Here is a 23,482-nt window from a genome sequence, read left to right as displayed (position 1 = left end):
CATGGTGGCAGAGATGGAAGCTACACAGTTGCCCAACAGCATCAAAATACTAGTTTCTAGGGCAATCTAGCTACTGCTGCTTCCACAGCCTTTCAGAGACAAACATTGAATCCAAATATAGAACTCTGATAAGGAGACCAACACAACACTTGGTATCAAGTTGACTACAACAAGTCCCTTCAATTCTAGAAAAGCCAGCCAAACTCACAGGAATAGCTACCTTGCAATGTACCTGAAGAGCCTCAAATAGTTCCACTATCTGGAGGCATTTACTTCACAGGATTTCCTCCCCATCCCTGGAACTTATCAACACCTAATCCCAACTTGCCAGCTGCATGTAAGATGACATATGCTGGCAGTAGAGGAGTTTAGTTTCCATTAAAACTGAAGCACTGTAATAGATTCAGCCATAAATGCAAGCATGTATACCCATGTAGACATTCAAGTCTACAGGGAGAGAACCATCCAAGTCAGGAAGATAACTAGGCCCATTCCTGCATTACTCTAGCACTATGGGTATTAACTTTATTCCATATTGATGTGTTCTGAGGTTTATTAATCATATTCCAGAAGATAGTCCCCACTACCCTTCCGAACCAACTATTTCAACATTTATCAAGTTACCACTTCCCATTTGCTCTGGGCCTGTTACTTTGTGTTCCTATTTCTGGTCTTATGTTCCACTACAAGGAGTATCTTTCTCTTGATCCAAGTGAACTCATGTCGTGGGTGTAGCCCTCTACCCATGGCTCTCATTGATGCCTCAAGAAGCAGCTCAATGAGCACCCAAAACTGAAGTGTCCAGAGAAAGCCATACTGACCAATGAGGCCAGAATTCACATTTGATTGGAGGCTCATTGAGTCCAGACTTACTGGGATCTCAGTAACTCTAAGTCTCCTACAAGTGTTCATGTTATTAACCTTGACCTTTTGGTAAATTCTCCAGTTTGCATGCTATTGCCATTTCATTTAAGCTTCTACCAAACATTGCTGACTTCTGTTTTTTCCCCAAACGTGTCAGACTCAAATTACAATAGCATCGAGAACCGAGAAAAGTGATTTTCACATTGCATCCATATAAAGAGAAACTAGAGAAAACAAAACCAAGTGTTTCAACTGCAGATTTCAAAGTGATGCAGCTTAGAAATTATAAAATTTGTATTCCTCACATAAATGACCAACTCCAACCTTGCCCAAAACCGGGTTGTAACATACTAGTCCTTCCTTTGCCAAATATTTTGCCTCCAATTAATAAGGTGGGTTGCCAAGATGCACCAGGATACTTTGCAGAATTGGCACCAACAATTTTGTCTGACCAATAGACAACTTGTTTATGAGACTCCAGAAGTATGCTTACCCAGAACAAACATGAGTGAAGAACAAGGTAAAAGCATCAAGGATATTCCTGCAACACCATGAGGGGCCAGCTCTAGTCATATATGACTGCCCACGACCAGGACAGCAAGGCTTCAAAAAAGTCTGGTGAGCAAGAGAGGAAGAGACTGATACTTGAAGAGCTGGGAGGCCATGTTGGCACCACAGGCAATAATTGCTGCAAGACTCATTGACGCCAAAACTATAAAGGCTCATTTTATTCCTTCACATATTCAAGGCTTTTTGCTGCAAGTTTCTGGCTCAAGTGTTGGTGTATAGTTTGTGGGAAACTTCACTACAGACACAAAGGGTTGGGTTCACCTATAGTTCCATGCAGGTTGACTTGGGTGCCCAACACTCCCTGGAGAAGGGCTTTTCCCTTCTTGTTACCAGCCTGCCCTTTCCCACTCCCAAACCTAGAAGATTATGTTATGCCCTGAATTTGCTAAGAGAAATGAAGATGAAAGGGAAGGAAAAGCAACCTGGTTTGAACACAATGTAGAAGACCACAGTATGCCACCCCAGAAAGTCCTTCAGCTAAAGTACATGATTGTGAGTGGAAGGCAATAAAGCAGATACAAGGAAAGCTCACATAGTCAAGAGCTCAGAAGCTGATCATTTGTGCTACAGAGAAAGTGGCAGGGTCAATTGTACTTGAACTGTTTACCAATCATTACAAATTGTCCATGCCACTCCCCCTGCTACAGAGGGGCATGTGCCTGCAATTGTTGATCCCATATAACAATCTGAGGAGACAGCTTTCACCACTGACTATGTACATAAATATGGTATGCAGTGTCATACCCTCATTTTGGAAGCATTTTCCTGTGCCAATTCATGAGTAAACCTGATGGCACTGTTACTTGGCTCCCTACAGGCTATGGAACTGAGTCCTGCAGAATTGCAGTCACTGATGATTCAACTCACCGACTTGGTCTTTACCATCCTGCAATTAGTATTTTCATTGCTCTTTTGTGATTCAAGAGACAACTCAGCTTCTGAGGACTGGTTCAATCCACTCAAGTCTGCTGCAGAAATCAGTGATATGTATATTAATTACCCACATCTTGATGTGGCTACACATATGTCTAAGATAGCAGTGTATAACTGGTGCCATAGAACCCTGATCAGAATACTCTCGACTAAGGACAGATGTTGGGCAACCATTCATAGTCCAAAATTATCTTGTTGCAAGTGAAACACAAGTGACAACACTGGTCACAATTAAGAACTTCCTTAGAGACTGACGCCATGCAAATTCTTATCCCTGAAGTAACTGATGAAATACTTAAGTTTAGAAATGCATGAGAGTCTCTTGAAGACTGTAGGATCTGAATGGTTTCCTTATGCCAAAGTAACTCGACATCTGGATGCTTCAAAATTAAATAGCATTCCTACATCTTGCTTCTGCAGCATTTTATCATGTAGAGACCAGCTCAACCATGCTGAATCACAGATAGGGGAATCCAATACCAGGTGATATTCTAGAAACATGACTGAAGGATGCATACAAAAAGCATCAGGAAAGATCAGGTCAATCAACATTCACTCAACAATGAGATTCTCAATTCAGGCAGAATAACTCACGAGATGGTTCAGCACTGGGATCCAAAGGAGAAGGAACAAATCCCCACCTCTATGACAGGAGAGTTTCTAATCAGCCATAAGAATAAAGGAGCTTGTAAAATAGACTTTACTAACTAGACTTTGTCTATCACATGTTTACCTTCCCACCACTTGCCATCCCCAGAGACTTATGGTCTGGTTCACTTGTCTGCCTCTTGAATTTTACCACTCTTTGTTCTAGATGCTACATACTGTCTAGCAAGGCCTTTATACTTCCTTATGGCTTCCACAGTGTAGACTCCTCTCAGGCTTACACTAAGTTATAGGTGATTCAGTGTGTCCTGAAGAGGGACTGGCAGATCTACACTGAAAGCCACCCCCACCCCCAACACACTGCAGTGGTCTTCATTACCAAGAAATGGAAACCCCTGGACACCAGTGATTTTTAAACACAGGCCTTTACCCAAAAAATAGTCATCTGGATGCAAGCTGCACTAAATGCCTAGGCAAAGCTGAAGGAGCCAAACATACTGCAAGTTTCAAAGTGTCCTGAGAACAGTACACTAGGTAGCACAAAAGCACCCTGGAGCCCCCTGAATTGTGCTGCCCATTTCAGCTCCTCTAATATGGGAGATGATTTATTCTAATTTTTCACAATTTCTTCTGGTATTCTCACCCTGGGTACTAGTTATTTTACCATCTGGTCTGGTTTCCTGCCTAGTGTTGGCTCATCTAGGGAGTTCTTTGTCTTACCTATCTAGCCTAAACACGTGTCTAAAAAAAAAAAAACAAAAAAAACAAAGTTGGCCCTTCCTCCTGAGTTCAGGAGAAACAGTTCCCACTGGGGGTTATCAATTGTCTAGAGTCTATGCATCTACTATGGAATATATATACTATGGAGTATATATAGTTTTATCTATTCAGAGAGACCAGGGAGGATCCCAACACAGCCCCCTCAACTGGTCAAGGGAGAGGAGATACCAGATATCCATCTTCCTACCACTGAGATGCTTGGAATGGTACTTTTCTTTCTACTGGTCCATCTTTCTTTATACCTGGGGAATATGTAGATGCATTTTCTGTATAAATTTAATGGTTTAATGGTGTTTATCAACAACCATGGAGAATAATCAGGGTAACTGTTCTTAGTGTAACACCAGATTGGTGCAAAAGTAATTGTTGTTTTTTGTCATTACTTTTAATGGCCTAATAAGTTATCTAGGGGAAGTTGTCTGCCTATCAACTACATGTTACTGTATCTGGAAACCTTAAAACCCCAGGAAGGAGAAAGCATACAGGGTCCTATAAGAACTGCCTGGACTAGTAGAAGGTGCAAGCTAGTGTTCCTTAATGTTTTCCAGCATCTTTGAAAGAGCTAAAGATTCAAATTTGTCATTAGTCATTCTGTTCAGTAGTGATTTTATTTCTTGCTGAAGTCACCATCTGCATATTTGTTGTGCATTTAGCGAGGTTTTTTTTTTTTAAAGAAAAGCCACTACATAAATTAAAAGTGCCCTAGACTGAACCTGTGGGTGTACACCAGCAAATTCCACTGCACTCTTGTGCAGCAGAGACTGCCAATGAGCTGCTATCTTCTCTGCTGTGTCCCTGTGAGGAGAAGAGCCATTTCTTACTGTCTCCTGTCTCCCAAGAGGAGGAGGAAGTAAAAGCTGAAAAGCAACAGGGATGAAGTCAGTGGCAAGACTGACTGGCACCACTGGCCAGACCTGGGGTTAAAAATTAACCTCTGCTCTAACCACATGCGTTATCTATAGATTTCAGACATAGTATAGAGAAACATTCTCCTAGAAGCATTGATCCTGCTCACCGCCCCCCCACCCCAACAAGTCACGTACCCCTTGCTTGCTCAATCCCTTTCACGTGGACCCCTTAGAGTTGTAAGCCCTTAAAAAGGGCCAGGAACTGCTTGGTGAGGAGCTCAGTTCTGGAGACACAAGTCTGCTGATACTTCCAGCCAAATAAAGCCTCTTCCTTCTTTAACCCGGTATCTGAGGGATTTTGTCTGCACTTATCCTGCTACACTCTGGCAATACCTTCATATTGTGTAATTTGCTGTGCTTTAATCACTTATCCTCAACATTAAGATAAGAATTGGAGGAGTGTAAGAGGCCTAAAAATGCTTCTATGTTACAGTAGAAGTTGTATGTGTTAAGACGTACTGACAGGGAAGTCAAAGACATGCTAAGCCTCCTACTTTTTTTAAACTGATGTATTTTTTCATGCATAAGAAAAAATGAATATAGTGTTGGTTGTGAAAACCATACTTAGAAAACATCCTCTACTGTGGCCCTCAAGCCACCCTCTAAGGTATTTAACATTGACATAGAAGCTGACTCTCTGCATCTTTGCTCTGTGTCAGCCTTCAGCATCTGTTCCCCAACACTCAGGTCTTCCCGCTCCTGAACACTTTCTGCTGTTCATCTGCTTCTAGGCCTATTTTCCCTTTAGCTTAACCCATTCTTCCCAAAAACTGCTTCCGTCCCGGACTTGTACCCTATATATTCCTTTAGGACTCTTCTAGTCTATCACCACTGGTTCTCTCTCCAACATGAAACCCAGATGTTTTTCTCTACTTGCTTCCTTCATAAACATTTCATCCTCCTTTGCCCTGCTCTATGCCCAGATGTGCCAATTGTTTATGAACTGCATCACATGTGGTCCTTTGTCCTCTTGTTTCCAGTGGGGTTGGACAACAGGAGGCATTTAAGAGGTTGGTGGGTAAATAGTCCCCCATTCCCTCATAGCCATAGCACCTCACTTCTTCCAGCAGCTGTATCCTAGGTGGTGAAGTCCTTCCCACAACACACACTTTACCTGGCACTATTTACCCTATGCCTTCCCACTGTACTCACATCTAATAAGGGCTTCTATCTATACTAGCCTCTCAGTCTTTTCACATCCTTCTGACTTGGGTAACCTACTCCCACCTTTAAAACTTCTTCCTGAAGCCTCTGCAGAATGTTCTTCCTTCTTGGGCCCAACCATCATGGCCTGATTCAGGAAAACGGGGAATACTAGCTCTTGAACTCCCCACCAGCTTAGTGAATACTTGGTCCAGCCCATATCAGTTGACTTTTCTCCCTAATCTTGCCTTCCCCTCCATTTCACAGGCAGTCAATTCTTATAGACACCTGACACCCCAAACGTCATCTCAATAACTTCGAGAGCCAAAGCTGTGAGAAGTCCTACATCAAAAAGAATATGATCCCATTTGGTAGCAGCTCTTCTGCTTTCCCTCTTTTTATAAACTCAGGGAAAGCAGAGTTGAAGCACAAAAGCAGAACAGAGAGCATAAGTAAGATGGTAGGGTTTACACTTGTGACTTGTAGTATTTCTAGAGAAATAACATTGTCAACCTGGATTTTTATAGTACTATTCAAACTTATCCCTTCCATTTTAAGTATATCATTTTTAGCATAAATTCATGGGATACTGGAAATCAATGAGAGTTAGTGTAGTTGAAAGTCAAGACAAGATTACCTGAGAATGTCATTACCAATTTTATCGTTTCAATTCAGAAATAAGCTTCTATTAATCTAGTAGCCTTAATATACATCAAGGCATCAAGTCTAAGAAGTTTAGCTGTATACTACTAGAATGGAAGATTTGATCTACCCCCCTTCACAAAGTGTTTTAATAGTGTTTCATTTTGCCTGCCACGATAAACAGTTGTGTTTTTTTCTGGTAAAGCTGTGAGCAGCTGAAGTCACCTAACTTCTTTTCCTGTCTCACTTTATCCCCTCACCCTTGCTGTCCCGTTTACCCCTTTCCCCAATACACAGAAGCACAGAAGTAGTTTCAGGATCAACTTTCTAGGGAATCCGGGTCAGTAATCAAAAGCACTGAAATCCCTTTTTTAAGCAATGACAAATGTGGTACTTTTAGTGGTAACACACCCGACTGCCTGACTGCTACATCCCAACAATACACAACCTCTACAGAGTGCTGGGCAAGCATGATCCTGGGCACCTAGGATACAGCACTGAACAGTAAGTCCCTGGCCTCCCACAATTTGCATTCAAATAGAGACAGGTGAGTATTATGAAGAAAACAAAGCAGGATATGGAGTAGGCTTGTGATGAAGGAAGGAAGCAGTCCCATTTTCAATAAGGTTGCCAAGGAAGAAGCATCTTTGATTTTCTCTCAACTGCCATTAACCAAGATTGCTGCATGACCATGTGTCACACATTTACTTCCCTTTGTTTTACCTGACCCACTCAGAGCTTTCATGCATGCCTCTGGTATTTGTGGAGTCTGCATGTGTGGTTTAAATTTGACCATAAGAAACTTAGTGCCTTTTACCACTAATTTCATTAGAGTGTCAATTATGTAGACTACCACATACTGTAGTATGAGAAAGGTGGTTTGAGACCAAAGTGTAAGCTAGAGCTGTTACACAGAGGACTTAGGAGAATTTGCTTTTTGAAACGAAAGCTCAGGTTCTTAGGCTTTTATAGTGGTTTCCTTCCAGCATGTAATAGGGTCTTGTCTCATGTTGGTACCTAATTGTTTAACCACAGGGTCAACAGAATGTCCAACCCATTGAGGAAAGCCAGAAAACTGCTCCAGGTAATTTTCTGTTATTCTATAAAAAGCATGTGTACCTTTGAGAAGCAGCTTATTGTATTCAAAGTACTTTCTCATATGTTCTCTTGCTGCTATTTTATAGATTAGGTTACTGAGGGATTAAAAAAAGTCTCAAAAATGGACTCTCTGCAAGTAACTAGGCAGTTAAGTAAAAGGGGGACCTGACCCAAACCAAATGTTCTTTAAGTCCAAATATTCACACTTGCAGTTTTAAGTTGAAGTGACATATATAGAAGACTTCTTGAGGGTTCTGTCTCTCAGCTTTGGAGCCTCCTCCCTCTGTCTCTGTACAGGGGAGCTTCTTCCTTACCCCTTCTTTCTTGCCTATTAAACTCCCTGCACCTTAAAACTACTCCATGTGTGTCCATGTCATTTTTTCTAATTCAACTCAAGATGAAGAACCTGGTGTTCTCCACTCATAGGAACTGTACCATTTTGGTGCATTGGCTGAGACTTGCCCAGACATATCCAAACATGCCTTGTGCTGAGAAACACAATGTGCTTACCAGAGAAGTGGTAGCAACTAACCTCACTGCGGGAGGGAAAGGGGAAAACTCTGCTTCTAGACTGTAAAAATCTTGCACATTTCATGCAGAGAAAGAGTAAGAGGCTGCAGATAGAGAGAGAAGAGTTGTGCACCAGGATAGTTGAGGTTCTCTGCCAACACCCAGAATTGGTTGTCAGAGGCTACATCCGGTCCGGAGACCTTTGAATCACACCTGGGCATGCCCTGGCCAGAAATTCTCAGTTGCCTCAGGACTTTTCCCAGCCTTGCGTGATGGCAAGATCCCCCATGAAAATAAGCTAGTTCAAACATGGCCAACATTCCCAATACCCCATGGGTAAAGGGGGTTCTCCGTGTTCTCCCCAGCAAGCCTCACATCCATGACTTGAGTACAGCAGCCAAGGCTAAGCATATGTACTAGGCTAACAGACGCCCATTGATTTATTTGATTTAATATAGAGGTGAAGAGCATCTTGGAATGATAGAACAGATTTTGAGCTTGCTCCCATACTCACCACTCTGACAAATGCCCTGGAGTATATGTTGAAGCACTGGGACTCCTTCAACCTTGAAACTCTGAAGAAAAAGTGGCTTATTTTCTTTTGTGGCCATATCGGGCAGGCTCGGGGAAAATAGTTCCCAAAATTAAAGTAACTTTCAGGGAAGTCATCTAAGGGTCTCCCTTATTTGGCGCTCCTTAAAGTTCCCTTCTCATTGCAGGACCTTAGGCAAGTAAAGAGAAACTAAGGCTGATCTTTTGATGAACCTGTTAGATACATGGAAGCTTTCCAAAATTTAACTCAGGTATTTGATCTCACATGGAGGGAAGGTTATGTTGCTGCAAAGTCAAACCCTCATTTTAGCTAAAATAGGCAGTTCCGCAAGCAGAAGAAAATTTTGGAGATAAGCAATATGTCTCCTATAGTAGGCCAGAAGGGAAAAGAGAAAATAGGGAAGGCAAAGAAATAGGGGAAACACCATTCCCAACAGGAAGAGAGGTATTACCTCTTAACCCTTAGTAGAACTCCTTTCTATGGTGTTTTTCCTTCTCTTGTGGTTTAAAATTGCATCTTTTCTTTGTGTACTTTCAACTTGGGAAAAGTTAATTCTCCAAACCTTAAAATGTTTGGCTTAAAGTTGAACTAAGGGGAAGGGAACCCAGAAGCCTAATATGCTGGCAGCAAAAGGGTAAAAATTTCTTACTACTCAGCTGGATTTTGGATTCTCTCCCTGCACATACCAGTAAAAGTGATAATAAGGATCACTGTTTATGTTTTCTGTAAATGTATAATTAATGATAAAGGATTTATAAGGTTGGTCTTAAGCTGTAGACAATCTGGTGTGCTTTGCATGTCTTTCTGCATGGTCCTGTCAAAGAAAGGGTATCTTAGTCAGGGTGCAGGCCCATGCCAGAGATGGTGAATTCTTCTTCAATGGGTTTAATTGTGTGATGTCCTTGTCCTTGGTTCAGAGGCCCCACCTCCTTGTACTATGTTTCTAGCCTGCAAGCAGCCCTCCCACTCTTGTTATGCTCTGAACTTGCCCAGACATGTCCAAACATGCCTTGTGCTGTAGCAGAGGGACCACTCCCACCCCCTCCCTCCCTTATGAATTGCACATTTACCTTTTTTGGAAAAGTTTAAGTCTTAGCCAACTGGGATGACTTTAGATTGTGCAGTCCAACCCTAGCTAATAGGGGAAGGACACAGGGATAGGGACTGCATTAGGGATAAAAACTCCTCTCCTTTGTTCAGTGTGCTCTTGCAATCATGGCTGAGACAAGCAGCACCCTTCTGCAGAAGTAAATTGCCTTGCTGAGAAAACCTTTTGCCTGAGTGCTAGTTTCACTTTGCGACACTGAGCATTTGTTTCTAACAAATCTAGGGGCTTTTGTGGGATTCCCATTCTCCTCCAGGGAAAGGGTCTCTGGTCACCTCTCATGAGGAGATGCATGCCACTGCCTCATTGTGGTGGCCTCAGGGTGAGGAATCGGGACCTACCTGGTGTGACGAATAAACCTGGACTCTCAGCTAGGAAGAAACTGCATCAACTAACGAGCAAAATAATCAGCTAACATCATGAAAGGGTCAAATTCACACATAACAATATTAACCTTAAATGTAAATGGGCTAAATGCTCCAATTAAAAGACACAGACTGGCAAATTGGATAAAGAGTCAAGACCCATCAGTGTGCTGTATTCAGGAAACCCATCTTGTGCAGAGACGCACATAGGCTCAAACTAAAGGGATGGAGGAAGATCTACCAAGGAAATGGAAAACAAAAAATGGCAGGGGTTGCAATCCTAGTCTCTGATAAAACAGACTTTAAACAAAGATCAAAAGAGATGAAGAAGGTCATTACATAATGGTAAAGAGATCAATTCAACAAGAAGAACTAACTATCCTAAATATATATGCACCCAATACAGGAGCACCCAGATTCATAAAGCAAGTCCTTAGTGACCTACAAGAGACTTAGACTCCCACACAATAATAATGGGAGATTTTAACACCCCACTGTCAACATTAGACAGATCAACGAGACAGAAAGTTAAAAAGGATATACAGGAATTGAACTCAGCTCTGCACCCAGCAGACCTAATAGACATCTACAGAACTCCCACCCCAAATCAACAGAATATACATTCTTTTCAGCACCACACCACACCTATTCCAAAATTGACCACATAGTTGGAAGTAAAGCATTCCTCAGCAAGTGTAAAAGAACAGAAATTATAACAAACTGTCTCTCAGACCACAGTGCAATCAAACTAGAACTCAGGATTTAGAAACTCACTCAAAACTGCTCAACTACCTGGAAACTGAACAACCTGCTCCTGAGTGACTACTGGGTACATAACAAAATGAAGGCAGTAATAAAGATGTTCTTTGAAACCAACGAGAACAAAGACACAACATACCAGAATCTCTGGGACACATTTAAAGCAATGTGTAGAGGCAAATTTATAGCGCTAAATGCCCACAAGAGAAAGCAGGAAAGATCTAAAATTGACACCCTAACATCACAATTAAAAGAACTAGAGAAGCAAGAGCAAACACATTCAAAAGCTAGCAGAAGGCAAGAAATAACTAAAATCAGAACAGAACTGAAGGAAATAGAGACACAAAAAACCCTTCAAAAAATCAATGAATCCAGGAGCTGGTTTTTCGAAAAGATCAACAAAATTGATAGACCGCTAGCAAGACTAATAAAGAAGAAAACAGAGAAGAATCAAATAGACACAATAAAAAATGATAAAGGGGATATCACCACTGATCCCACAGAAATACAAACTACCATCAGAGAATACTATAAACACCTCTACGCAAATAAACTAGAAAATCTAGAAGAAATGGATAAATTCCTCGACACCTACACTCTCCCAAGACTAAACCACGAAGAAGTTGAATCTCTGAATAGATCAATAACAGGCTCTGAAATTGAAGCAATAATTAATAGCTTACCAACCAAAAAAAGTCCAGGACCAGATGGATTCACAGCCAAATTCTACCAGAATTACAAGGAGGAGCTGATTCCATTCCTTCTGAAACTATTCCAATCAATAGAGAAAGAGGGAATCCTCCCTAACTCATTTTATGAGGCCAGCATCATCCTGATACCAAAGCCTGGCAGAAACACGACAAAAAGAGAGAATTTTAGACCAATATCCTTGAGGAACATTGATGCAAAAATCCTCAACAAAATACTGGCAAACCGAATCCAGCAACACATAAAAAGCGTATCCACCATGATCAAGTGGGATTCATCCCTGGGATGCAAGGCTGATTCAACATATGCAAATGAATAAACATAATCCAGCATATAAACAGAACCAAAGACAAAAACCACATGATTATCTCAACAGATGCAGAAAAGGCCTTTGACAAAATTCAACAACCTTCATGCTAAAAACTCTCAATAAATTAGGTGTTGATGGGACGTATCTCAAAATAATAAGAGCTATCTATGACAAACCCACAGCCAGTATCATACTGAATGGGCAAAAACTGGAAGCATTCCCTTTGAAAACGGGCAAAAGACAGGGATGCCCTCTCTCACCACTCCTATTCAACATAGTGTTGGAAGTTCTGGCCAGGGCAATCAGGCAGGAGAAGGAAGTAAAGGGCATTCAGTTAGGAAAAGAGGAAGTCAAATTGTCCCTGTTTGCAGATGACACGATTGTATATCTAGAAAACCCCATTGTCTCAGCCCAAAATCTCAAGCTGATAAGCAACTTCAGCAAAGTCTCAGGATACAAAATCAATGTGCAAAAATCACAAGCATTCTTATACACCAATAACAGACAAACAGAGAGCCAAATCGTGAGTGAACCCCCATTCATAATTGCTTCAAAGAGAATAAAATACCTAGGAATCCAACTTACAAGGGATGTGAAGGACCTCTTCAAGGAGAACTACAACCACGGCTCAATGAAATAAAAAAGGAAACAAATAGAACATTCCATGCTCATTGATATGAAGAATCAATATCATGAAAATGTCCACATTGCCCAAGGTAATTTATATATTCAATGCCATCCCCATCAACCTACCAATGACTTTCTTCTCAGAATTGGAAAAAACTACTATAAGTTCATATGGAACCAAAAAAGAGCCCGCATTGCCAAGTCAATCCTAAACCAAAAGAACAAAGCTGGAGGCATCACACTACCTGACTTCTAACTACACTACAAGGCTACAGTAACCAAAACAGCAGGGTACTGGTACCAAAACAGAGATATAGACCAATGGAACAGAACAGAGCCCTCAGAAATAATGCCACATATCTACAACTATCTGATCTTTGACAAATCTGACAAAAACAAGCAATGGGAAAAGGATTCACTATTTAATAAACAGTGCTGGGAAAACTGGCTAGCCATATGTAGAAAGCTGAAACTGGATCACTTCCTTACATCTTATACAAAAATTAATTCAAGATGGATTAAAGATTTACATGCTACACGTAAAACCATAAAAACCCTAGAAGAAAACCTAGGCAATACCATTCAGGACATAGGCATGGGCAAGGACTTCAAGTCTAAAACACTAAGAACAATGGCAACAAAAGCCAAAATTGACAAATGGGATCTAATTAAACTAAAGAGCTTCTGCACAGCAAAAGAAACCACCATCAGAGTAAACAGACAACCTACAGAATGGGAGAACATTTTTGCAACCTACTCATCTGACAAATGGCTAATATCCTGAATCTACAATGAACTCAAATTTACAAGAAAAAAACAAACAACCCCATCAAAAAGTGGGCAAAGGATATGAACAGATACTTCTCAAAAGAAAACATTTATGCAGGCAAAAAACACACGAAAAAATGTTCATCATCCCTGGCCATCAGAGAAATGCAAATCAAAGCCACAATAAGATACCATCTCACACCAGTTGCAATGGCGATCATTAAAAAGTCAGGAAACAACAGGTGCTGGAGAGGATATGGAGAAATAGGAACACTTTTACACTGTTGGTGGGACTGTAAACTAGTTCAACCATTGTGGAAGTCATTGTGGCGATTCCTCAGGGATCTAGAACTAGAGATACTGTTTGACCCAGCCATCCATTACTGGATATATACCCAAAGGATTATAAATCATGCTGCTATAAAGACACATGCACATGTATGTTTATTACATCACTATTCACAATAGCAAAGACTTGGAACCAACCCAAATGTCCAACAATGATAGACTGGATTAAGAAAATGTGGCACATATACACCATGGAATACTATGCAGCCATAAAGAAAGGATGAGTTCATGTCCTTTATAGGGACATGGAAGAAGCTGGAAACCATCATTCTCAGCAAACTATCTCAAGGACAAAAAACCAAACACCACATGTTCTCACTTATAGGTGGGAATTGAACAATGAGAACACATGGACACAGGAAGGGGAACATCACACACCGGGGACTGTTGTGGGGTGGGGGGAGGGGAAGGGGGAGGGATAGCCTTAGGAGATATACCTAATGCTAAATGATGAGTTAATGGGTGCAGCACACCAACATGGCACATGTATACATAAGTAACAAACCTGCATGTTGTGCACATGTACCCTAAAACTTAAAGTAAAATAATAATAATAAAGAAAAAAAGAAAGAAAGCAGAATAGGCCTAAAACCTATAATTGAAAGCCTCATCAAGGATGGGTTCCTTGAACCCTGTATGTCCCCTTATAATACCGCAATACTGCCTGTGAAGAAATCAGATGGCTCATATCAAGTGGTGCAAGACCTCCAGGACATCAACCAGATAGTCCAGGCTACCCACCCTGTTGTTCCTAATGCTTACACCATTCTCAGTAAAATTCCATATGAACATCAGTGGTTCACAGATTTGAAGGATGCCTTTTGGTTACGCCCCTTGCCCAAGGACAGCTGAGACATTTTTGCTTTCAAATGGGAAGATCCCCATTCTGGATGAAAGCAACAGTATTGGTTGACAGTTCGACCTGAAGGGTTCAGATTCCCCTAACCTCTTTGGTCAAATTCTAGAATAAGTGTTACAACAAGTTTCTACCCCAAAATGTATATGCCTGCTCCAGTACATGGATGACTTCTAGTATCTGGTAAGGCTGTAGAGGTGGTAACTGCCTTCTCCATCCATCTCTTTAACCATTTGCAAGGAGGGGGTATGGGTTTCAAAGGGAAAGCTTCAATTCATAAAGCCTGAAGTTAAATACCTGGGACACTTAATAATCAAGGGCAAATGAAGGGTAGGGCCTGAACGAGTTGAAGGGATTGTGTCCTTACTTTTGTCTAAAACTAAACAAGAACTCAGGAAAAATCCTAGGATTAGTTGGATATTGCCACTTATGGATTGACTCATATGCCCTAAAAACAAAAACTTTATACCTAAAACTTATCCAGGAAAAGTCTGACCGTCTCCTGTGGATTTCTGAAGAAATCCACCAGGTTGAGGAACTAAAACATCTGCTCATAACTGCCCCTGTTTTAGCTCTGCCTTCCCTAGAGAAGCCATTTCACTTTTTTGTTAGCATAGATAGGGAGGTAGCTTTAGGGGTACTTAACCAAGAAGATAGGGTCACCAGAAACTCATAGTTTTCCTATTGAGAGTTTTAGATCCAGTAGCCTGTGGATGGCCTGAATGTATTCAATCCATCACAGCTACCACCTTGTTAACTAAAGTAAGCAGAAAGCTTGCCTTTGGGGGAAACTTAGTTGTAAGCATGCCCCATCAGGTTAGAACTATCTTGAATCAGAAGGCAGGAAGATGGCTCACTGACCAAGAATTTTAAAGTATGAAGCTATCCTGTTAGAAAGACACGATTTAACCCTAACAACTGATAATTCATTTAACCCAGCAAGTTTCCTGACTGGGAATCAAATCTAAAGAGACCTGAGCATGAATGTTTAGATTTAATTATCATACAAAAGTTAGGCCTGATTTAAGAGAGACCCCTTTCAAAATGGGGCAGCACTTATAGATGGCTCTTCCTGAGTAATTGAAGAAAAGAGACATAATGGGTACCCAGTAGTCATGGGGAAGCCCTTGAAATAGTCAGAAAGACTGCCCATTAATTGGTCTGCCCAAACATGTGAATTGTTTGCATTAAATCAAGCCTTAAGGCACTTGCAGAACAAGAAGAGACTATTTACACTGATTCCAAGTACGCCTTCGGGGTAGCTCACACCTTTGGAAAAATTTGGACTGAATGAGGTCTTATTAACAAAGGCCAAGACCTGGTCCACAAAGAATTAATCACTCAGGTATTAGATAACTTCCAGTTACCAGAAGAAATAGCTATTGTCCATGTTCCAAGACATCAGAAAGGTATCGCTTTTGAAGGCCAAGGGAATAACCTTGCATATCAAATAGCCAAACAAACTGCCACTTCCTCTGAAATGCCTGTTTTTCACTTAGCCCCTTGTCTTCCTCCCCCAACTGCAATCCCCATTTCTTCTCCCGCTGAAAAAGATAAAAATAGGGAACAAAGAAAATTCATAAGGGAAATGGGTGTTACCAGATCAAAGAGAAATGTTATCCAAACTCCTCATGAGAGAAGTTCTCTCTCGTCTGCATTAAGGGACTCATTTGGGGACCTCAAGCTACATATGTTGCAGGCCTCCGGGTTTATAGGAATGTATAAGAATTTATACTTTAGCAAGACAGGTTACAGATAGTTGCCTAGTATGTAAGAAAATTAATAAGCAGACCCTCAGAAAACCACCTCTTGGGAGAAATCCAGGATTAAGACCATTCCAAAGTGTCCAAGTTGATTACACCAAAATGCCCCCAATCGGTCACTTAAAATATTAGTGATAGTAGATCACCTTACTCATTGGGTAGAAGCTATTCACCCTTTTCAAGTCCAACTGCTAACAATGCAGTCAAGACATTTGTTGAAAATACTATACCCAGGTTCAGATTAATAGAAAATGTTGATTCAGATAATAGGACTCATTTCACTACAAATGTCATTAAGAAACTAGCCCAAGTACTGGATATAACATGGGACTACCATATCCCCTGGCACCCACCTTCATCAGGAAGAGAAGAATGAACTAGACTCTGAAGAAACACCTAACCAAATTAGTCCTAGAGATTCAATTACCGTGGATTAAATGCCTTTCCATTGTCTTGTTGAGAATCTGAACTGCCCCTCCAAAAGATGTTGGCTTACCCCTTATGAAATGCTGTTTGGGTTGCTTTGTTTACACTCCACTGCTGACATTCCTACATTTGAAACAAAAGATCTATTCCCCAAAAACTATATACTTGGTCCATCCTCCACTTTCTCTTCCCTTAGAACCAAAGGCCTCCTAGCACAGAGGCCACCCCTCGAATTTCCAGTTCACCACCACCAGCCTGGAGACAACGTCCTCATCAAGGGTTGGAAAGAAGGGAAGCTCGAGCCCACCTGGGAGGGATCCTATCTAGTGCTTCTAAGGACCAAGAACAGCTGTCTGCACCACCAAAAAGGGATGGCTCATCACACTCAGGTCAAAGGAAGACCACCTCCTCCACAATCATGGACAGCTATTCCAGGGCCAGCTCCAACCAAGTTAAAGCTAAAACAGGTTTGATCCTCTTATGTTTTATTTCTTTTTCCCTTCTATTGCTAGTCACACTTTAGTATCAATGTAACCAGATCTAGCTCTCCTCAAACCATTACCTTTGATGCTTGTCTTGTCATGCCCTGTGGACATCTCCAAAGCCAAAGAAAGCTTGCCTCTTCAGAAAGGTACCCTTGCCATTCCAGGATAAATAAGACTGCCTACAAAACTGACTCTTGCACCAAGCAAGCACAAAGCAGTTATTGGAAGTTCTGTCCTAGTTGGGAAGATTTGGTCTGGACCACCAAGTATCAAGGCTGGACCTCCCCGGGAGGAGATTGCACTGACCTAAAGCCTTACATCCACTTTACCAGAGAGAGAGAACTCCCTCCAATTTTCAACTCCAACAATGTAACCCTGTGCAAATCTCTGTCACTGTCCCCAAGTCTACCGACACTAACCCCATTCTAGATCTCTATGGCCTAGGAGCTGATGCTCCTGGAATAGACCCTACAGGATCCTTTGAGATGTGCTTCATTACTCCTTCACCTCTCTCTCCTTCTAAATCCTAATCAAATGGCTGTTCTTCCCATACCCCATGATGAAACCATAGTAGACATTGTAGAAGTAAAAGATCTAAGACAAACCCTGCAATTGAAACAGGATACCGAGATGCAAATATCTGCTGGGAATGGATTAAATATTCTGTTCGCACACTAAACAAAAGCAACTGTTACACTTGTGCAGCAGGTAGGCCAGAGGCCCAAATAGTACCCTTCCCACTTGGAGGGTCTTCTGACCAATCAGGTATAAGCTGCATGGTGAGTCTCTTTCAAAACCCCACAGCCTGGGACAATGAGGCATGGAAGACTCTCTCACTGCTGTTCTCTGAAGTTAAAGGCCCCACAGCTCAGCCCCCATGGGCCATCCAGCCTCCAGCTCCTAATGTTGATTTTACCTCATGTCTCTCATGGCAAAGGGAAGGATTAATGTCCCTCAGAAACCTAAAAGGGTGTAGTGAAATCAAGCCTTTCCAAGAGCTTACCAGTCAAGCTGCCTTTGTCTATTCTCAAGCAGATGTATGGTGGTACTGTGGTGGACTACAATTGGGTACTCTGCCTAGTAACTGGAGTGGCACTTGCACTCTAGTCTGATTGGCCATCCCTTTCACTCTGGCATTCCATCAACGTAACAGGAAAGGATGTTGGGGAAAAAAGGGTTGCTCCTCACAGGTCTTTTGACCCTCACATTTATATAGATGCTATTGGAATCCCACGAGGGGTACCAGATTAATTTAAAGCCTGAAACCAAATAGCTACAGGATTCAAATCAGCACTGTCCTGGTGGTCAACTATAAACAAAAATGTAGATTGGATAAATTACATTTACTATAATCAACAGCAGCTTGTCAATTACACAAGAGATGCCATTAAAGGGGTCACTGAACAATTAGGCCCCACCAGCTGGATGGCCTGGGAGAATATGATAGCCCTTGACATGTTAGCAGAAAATGGCAGAGTCTGTGTTATTATTGGAGTCCAATTCTGTACTTTCATCCCTAGTTAGCCAAAAATTCCGGAATAACCCCTTCACAAGTCTCATGGAAAAGTGGTTTGGTAAATGGAAAGGGCTTTTGACTTCAATATTAACCTCTCTTGCAACTGTTACAGGTGCACTCATTGTATGATGCTGCATCATACCCCGTATCCATGGGTTAATGCAAAGACTTATTATAGAAACAGTTCTCACAAAAACCACCCCTACCTCTCCTCCTCCATACTCAGATAGGATTTTGTTCCTAGGTGAACAAGTTGAACAACAGAGCTGAATTATGTTAGAAAAATTTGCAGAGGAAAAAGTATCAAAAGACAAAGGGGGAAATTGCCAGAGATGGTGAATTCCTCTTCTAAGGGTTTAATTGTGTAATGTCCTTGTCCTTGACTCAGAGGCCCTACCTCCTTGTACTTTGTTTCTAGCCTGTGAGCAGCCCTCCCACTCTTGTGTCCTGACTTGCCTAGACATGTCTGAACATGCCTTGCACTGCAGCAAAGGGACGACTCCCACACCTTCCCTCCCTTACAAATCATGCATTTACCCTATTTGGACAAGTTTAAGTCTTAGCCAATCAGCATCAGGTTACATTGTGCAGTCCAACCCTAGCCAATAGGGGAAGGACACAGGGATAGAGACTGTGTTAGGGATAAAAACTCTTCTTTGTTCAGTGTGCTCTTGTGATCTGGCTGATGCAGGCAGCACCCTTCTGCAGAAGTAAATTGCCTTGCTGAGAAAACTTTTTGCCTGAGTGCTGGTTTCACTTTGCAACCCCGAGCATTTGTTTCTAAAAAATCTGGGGGCTTGTCAGATTCCTATTCTCCTCAAGGGAAAGGGTTTCTGACATCCAGAATCCCATAAAGCCTGCTGTTGAAGCCAGCCCAACAAAATTATCAGTAATAAACTTGGCTAAGGCCTCCATCTTGTTTCATGGCCTTGGGAACATGACCTGTAACTGTGTGGCAATACTTTTAGTCTCTGCCATTTTACAATGGTGGCTATCTTCTTGTGCTAAATCATATAAGCCAGTTTGTCAATCTGGGTGGTGCCAGCTGGTCCATCAAAGGCAGAGTTTACAAAATCTTAAGCACTGATCTTAAGAGCTATTTAGCAAGGGCCAAAGTCTTGTAGCCTCCAGCTGCATGGCTCCTGGGCCATAGTTTCTAATCTTGTGGCTATTTACTGGGTCTGGTCCCCAGGCAAGAGGAAGTATATCTTGGGAAGCAGTTGTTATCTTTGTTTTAAACTATAGACTGTAAACCAGGCTCCTCCCAAAGTTGGTTCAGCCTACTCCCAGGGATGGGCAAGGACAGCTTGGGGGCTGGAAACAAAATGAAGTTGTTTGGGTCAGGTCTCTTTCACTGTCTCAGTCACAATTTTGAAATAATAGTTTCAAAAGCTGCCTATCACCCCTTTAAAAATACCTTGTACACTTGCCATTAAGTAATAATCTAATTAAATCTCATCGGTTTCACCTGTAAGATTACTTTTTGTAAAGTTCAAAAGCCAAAAATCTTAACTGCTTGGTATGGCTAAAGTCAAGTAACAAGGGATTTAAAAGGATTTTCTTAAAGAGTGTTCAGCTTAATTAAGGGTGTATATTCAAGTTATAGGTATATTTAAAAGGCTTTTATGTTTTTCTCTTCTTGGATCTTGTTTTTCTGGAGAAAGGCTCTTTTCTTCTCAGTCAACGGAATTATTTTTCTCCATTTTTTGTCTTACACCACTCTTAATCATGCATGAGAGGTCCTAAAATAACTTCTGGTAGCATAGAGCTCCTTGGGAAAACAGGAGGTGCCACATACCACATTTTGAAAAAAAAAAAAAAAAACTATTTTATTCATGAAACCCCAAGAATTAAAAGCAATTGTGTCAACAGGACACAATTGGAAAAACTGGTTATTTTACCAAGGCTTTGACTGAAAGGGTGTGTTTCCTTTAAGGAATCAAGCTTGACACGCAAAACCAATAAAAGCCCCTTGGGGGAGAACTGACTTAATATCTTATGTACTACGCAGTCCCCGCACAGGATTCGTAACCTGTGGTCAGTAAAGAATGTCACTTTCTAACAGGTCTGGAAACTCTGAGTTTATCTTAGGACCTCAAGATGAGAGACTCACCCAACTCACAGGTATTGGAGGATACAAACCCATGGCTGGGCTCAGCCTTAAAGTCTTATCTGAAATTAGAAATAACCATTCTTGCTGTACTTTATGCAAACAATCAGGCCAAGTATAAGACTAAAGTTTATTCTATAAACAACACACACAGCCCTATACTTTGTTTTTCCCAAAAATGAGGACTGGACAGAAACTGTGCTGCAAAGCTTATCATACATTTGTCATTAAATCCTAGTCTGTTTTTAAGCTTTTTGCCAAAATTTTAGACTAACTCTGCTTATTCCTGTAAATCAAGTGTTGATCTTCTGCAGCTTGGAAAAAAGAAAAAGGGATGGGTAATGTAAAAATCTGAATCAATATACTGGTTCTGGGCAATTATCCTGCAAATTCTGCAGGTAATAAAAGTGAGTAGGATGCCCATAAATTGAAGTTCCTTTGTTTGGGAAAATAAAACTAAGGAACTTCATAAACCCCCAAAGGGAAATTGTATATCTTGGCAAATAAAATTTTAGATGGAAATTACTACACCACATTTGTAGAAATTGCTATGCTCACTCTACTATTTGCAATAGGGTTATACAGAGTAGCAGCTTCTAATTGAAATATTGGACAGTTTCCATTGCTGTCATATTTTGCTTAATTATCCTTATTAGCAGGAATAATGGTTACTAACAAAAAAAGCATAAGAGTTTTACTGTCGCTGAGTATGCTAAGACTTTTTATTGAGTTCAGTAATGCACTTTTAAATGAAACATACCCCTTCTGGATTAACACCTCTACTTAAATAGAGGAAAACCTGCAAGTACTTAAAAATCAAATCAGAATTAACAGGCTCAGGGAAAATGCCAGCTTCAGCCCTGAGTAGCTACAATCCCTCTTTAATAAATTAAAGTCTTCTTTATGGAATTGGTTAACCCCCTTATTAAGCCCTCTCTTGCTTATATGGCTTATGTTGACATTTGGACCCTGTGTACTCAATACTATAACTTGAATTGTTTCTTCTTGCCTAAAAGCAATCAAACTCCAAATGGTGCTGCAAACAATGTGTGAACCACACATTGACACATCATTCTTCTGAGGACCCTTAGGTCAACCCCAGGTTGAGCCGTAGCTGCTGTTCCCCATTTGATGCCCCTTTTTAACAGGAAGTAGCCAGAAAGAGTCATCGCCCAAAACCCCCTAACAGCAGTTAGTGTGATATTGCCACAGGGAGGAATGTGGTAGGAGTTAAGAAATTATTTTAGGCAGGTAGAAAGGAAAGGGGTCCTTGAGAAGTTTTCAATTTTTAAAGCATCTCCGCTAAAGTTTCTTTTAAAGCCCCAGCTCGTACAGCCAGGCAGGCAACCTTTGATATGCAAATGTCAGCTGTTAAAAACTGGGTCCACCCAAACATGGCAATTCCCGTGGCCTTCTTGACCTTTCCCCATATGTTCCTGGCAACCTGGCTGCCCCCACATATCCCTATGTATGTAGAACATCATGGCACCCTGGATTTGCGTATTAAAAAGTTAGGGTAGGAGGGCCCTGAGCCCTATGCAAATCAGATGCCACCTTCTCCAGCCTCTGCATATACACCTGGCTGGTGTCCACTGCACTTGGGGTTTCATCTCTTGGCTTTGGAGCCCCCCTCCCTGTCTCTGTACAGGGGAGTGTCTTTCTTCCCCCTTCTTTCTTGCCTATTAAACTCCCTGCTCCTTAAAACAAAACAAAAAGACTTCTTACTTTTGCTAGCTTTATCTACAATAGCAATGTATGTCTTACATACAGTAATAGAATTCTAAGACTTCTATAAACTCCCAAACCAGTCATTTGTGTTATGCTACTTTTAGATGGAGTCTTGCTTTGTCGCCCAAGCTGGAGCACAGTAACATGATCTCAGCTCACTCCAACCTCCGTCTCCCGGGTTCAGGTGACTCTTGCCTCAGCGTCCTGTGTAGCTGGGATTACAGGCATGCACCACCATGTCTGGTTGATTTTTAGTAGAGACGGGATTTCACTATGTTGGCTAAGGTGATCTCAAACTCCTGACTTCAAGTGATCTGCTCATCTCTGCCTCCCAAAGTGCTGGGATTACAGGCATGAGCCACCATGCCCAGCTACATTACCTTATTTGGATAATTGCTTACCCAAGGCTTAACTTGCATATACTATAGAATTACAAAAGCTGGCCGTCTAAGTCTTTTGGACTTGAGGCAGATGCCTAAAAAGTCTAACTTCAAGGAACTGTGACTGAGCTTGGTTAAACAAAGCAGCTGATTAACTGAAGGGTTCAATCTGGGCAGGTGCAAGCAAGATTGACTACTGTAGAAGTTGCTGGGCCAGTGTGCTGTATTCCTCATGTTGTGACAGTGCTCAGACAGGGAAACCTCCAATTATACCAAATATTTTTGTACTGACATGTGGGCTACTGCCAATAGACTAGATATTTGTTTTGGCAAATAAGGCAAACAGAGGACCTTACCGTTCTCTATCACACATCAACTAGAAAGATTCTACCTTGGGAAAGGAGGTCAACACCTGTGCTCAGATTCTGCCTTGGGAGAACTCCAATTTAGGTAGCTCCGTATGTACTGAATAGAAGTATCTAAGATACACTGAAAAGATTTTTGTTTTTGAAGTGGTAAGGTACATAGTAGGGTTCATACTGATTACACTTTGAGGGAAATTAAGTATAAGCATAGTCTCCGGAAAGAATCAAGAGCAAGGATTTTCTTTAGAAAGGAAGA

General features: G+C 41.4%; 1 pseudogene, besides 2 other annotated features; it reads left to right on the top strand.

Moving 5' to 3' along the window:
- Positions 1,047-1,833, top strand: LOC100421142 (developmental pluripotency associated 2 pseudogene; annotated as a pseudogene).
- Positions 8,740-9,939: an enhancer, noted in NCBI's record as "MED14-independent group 3 enhancer chr4:78263439-78264638 (GRCh37/hg19 assembly coordinates)". NCBI's record gives its function as "activates an origin of replication core promoter dependent on BRD2, BRD4, P300/CBP and CDK7 cofactors, and independent of MED14, by STARR-seq in HCT116 cells {active_cell/tissue: HCT116}" and the evidence as "EXISTENCE:reporter gene assay evidence [ECO:0000049][PMID:35650434]".
- Positions 18,227-19,426: an enhancer, noted in NCBI's record as "MED14-independent group 3 enhancer chr4:78253952-78255151 (GRCh37/hg19 assembly coordinates)". NCBI's record gives its function as "activates an origin of replication core promoter dependent on BRD2, BRD4, P300/CBP and CDK7 cofactors, and independent of MED14, by STARR-seq in HCT116 cells {active_cell/tissue: HCT116}" and the evidence as "EXISTENCE:reporter gene assay evidence [ECO:0000049][PMID:35650434]".

This window comes from Homo sapiens, chromosome 4 (genome assembly GCF_000001405.40).
Source record: "Homo sapiens chromosome 4, GRCh38.p14 Primary Assembly".
Lineage (NCBI taxonomy): Eukaryota > Metazoa > Chordata > Mammalia > Primates > Hominidae > Homo > Homo sapiens.
This window is presented reverse-complemented; position numbering and strand designations above follow the sequence as displayed.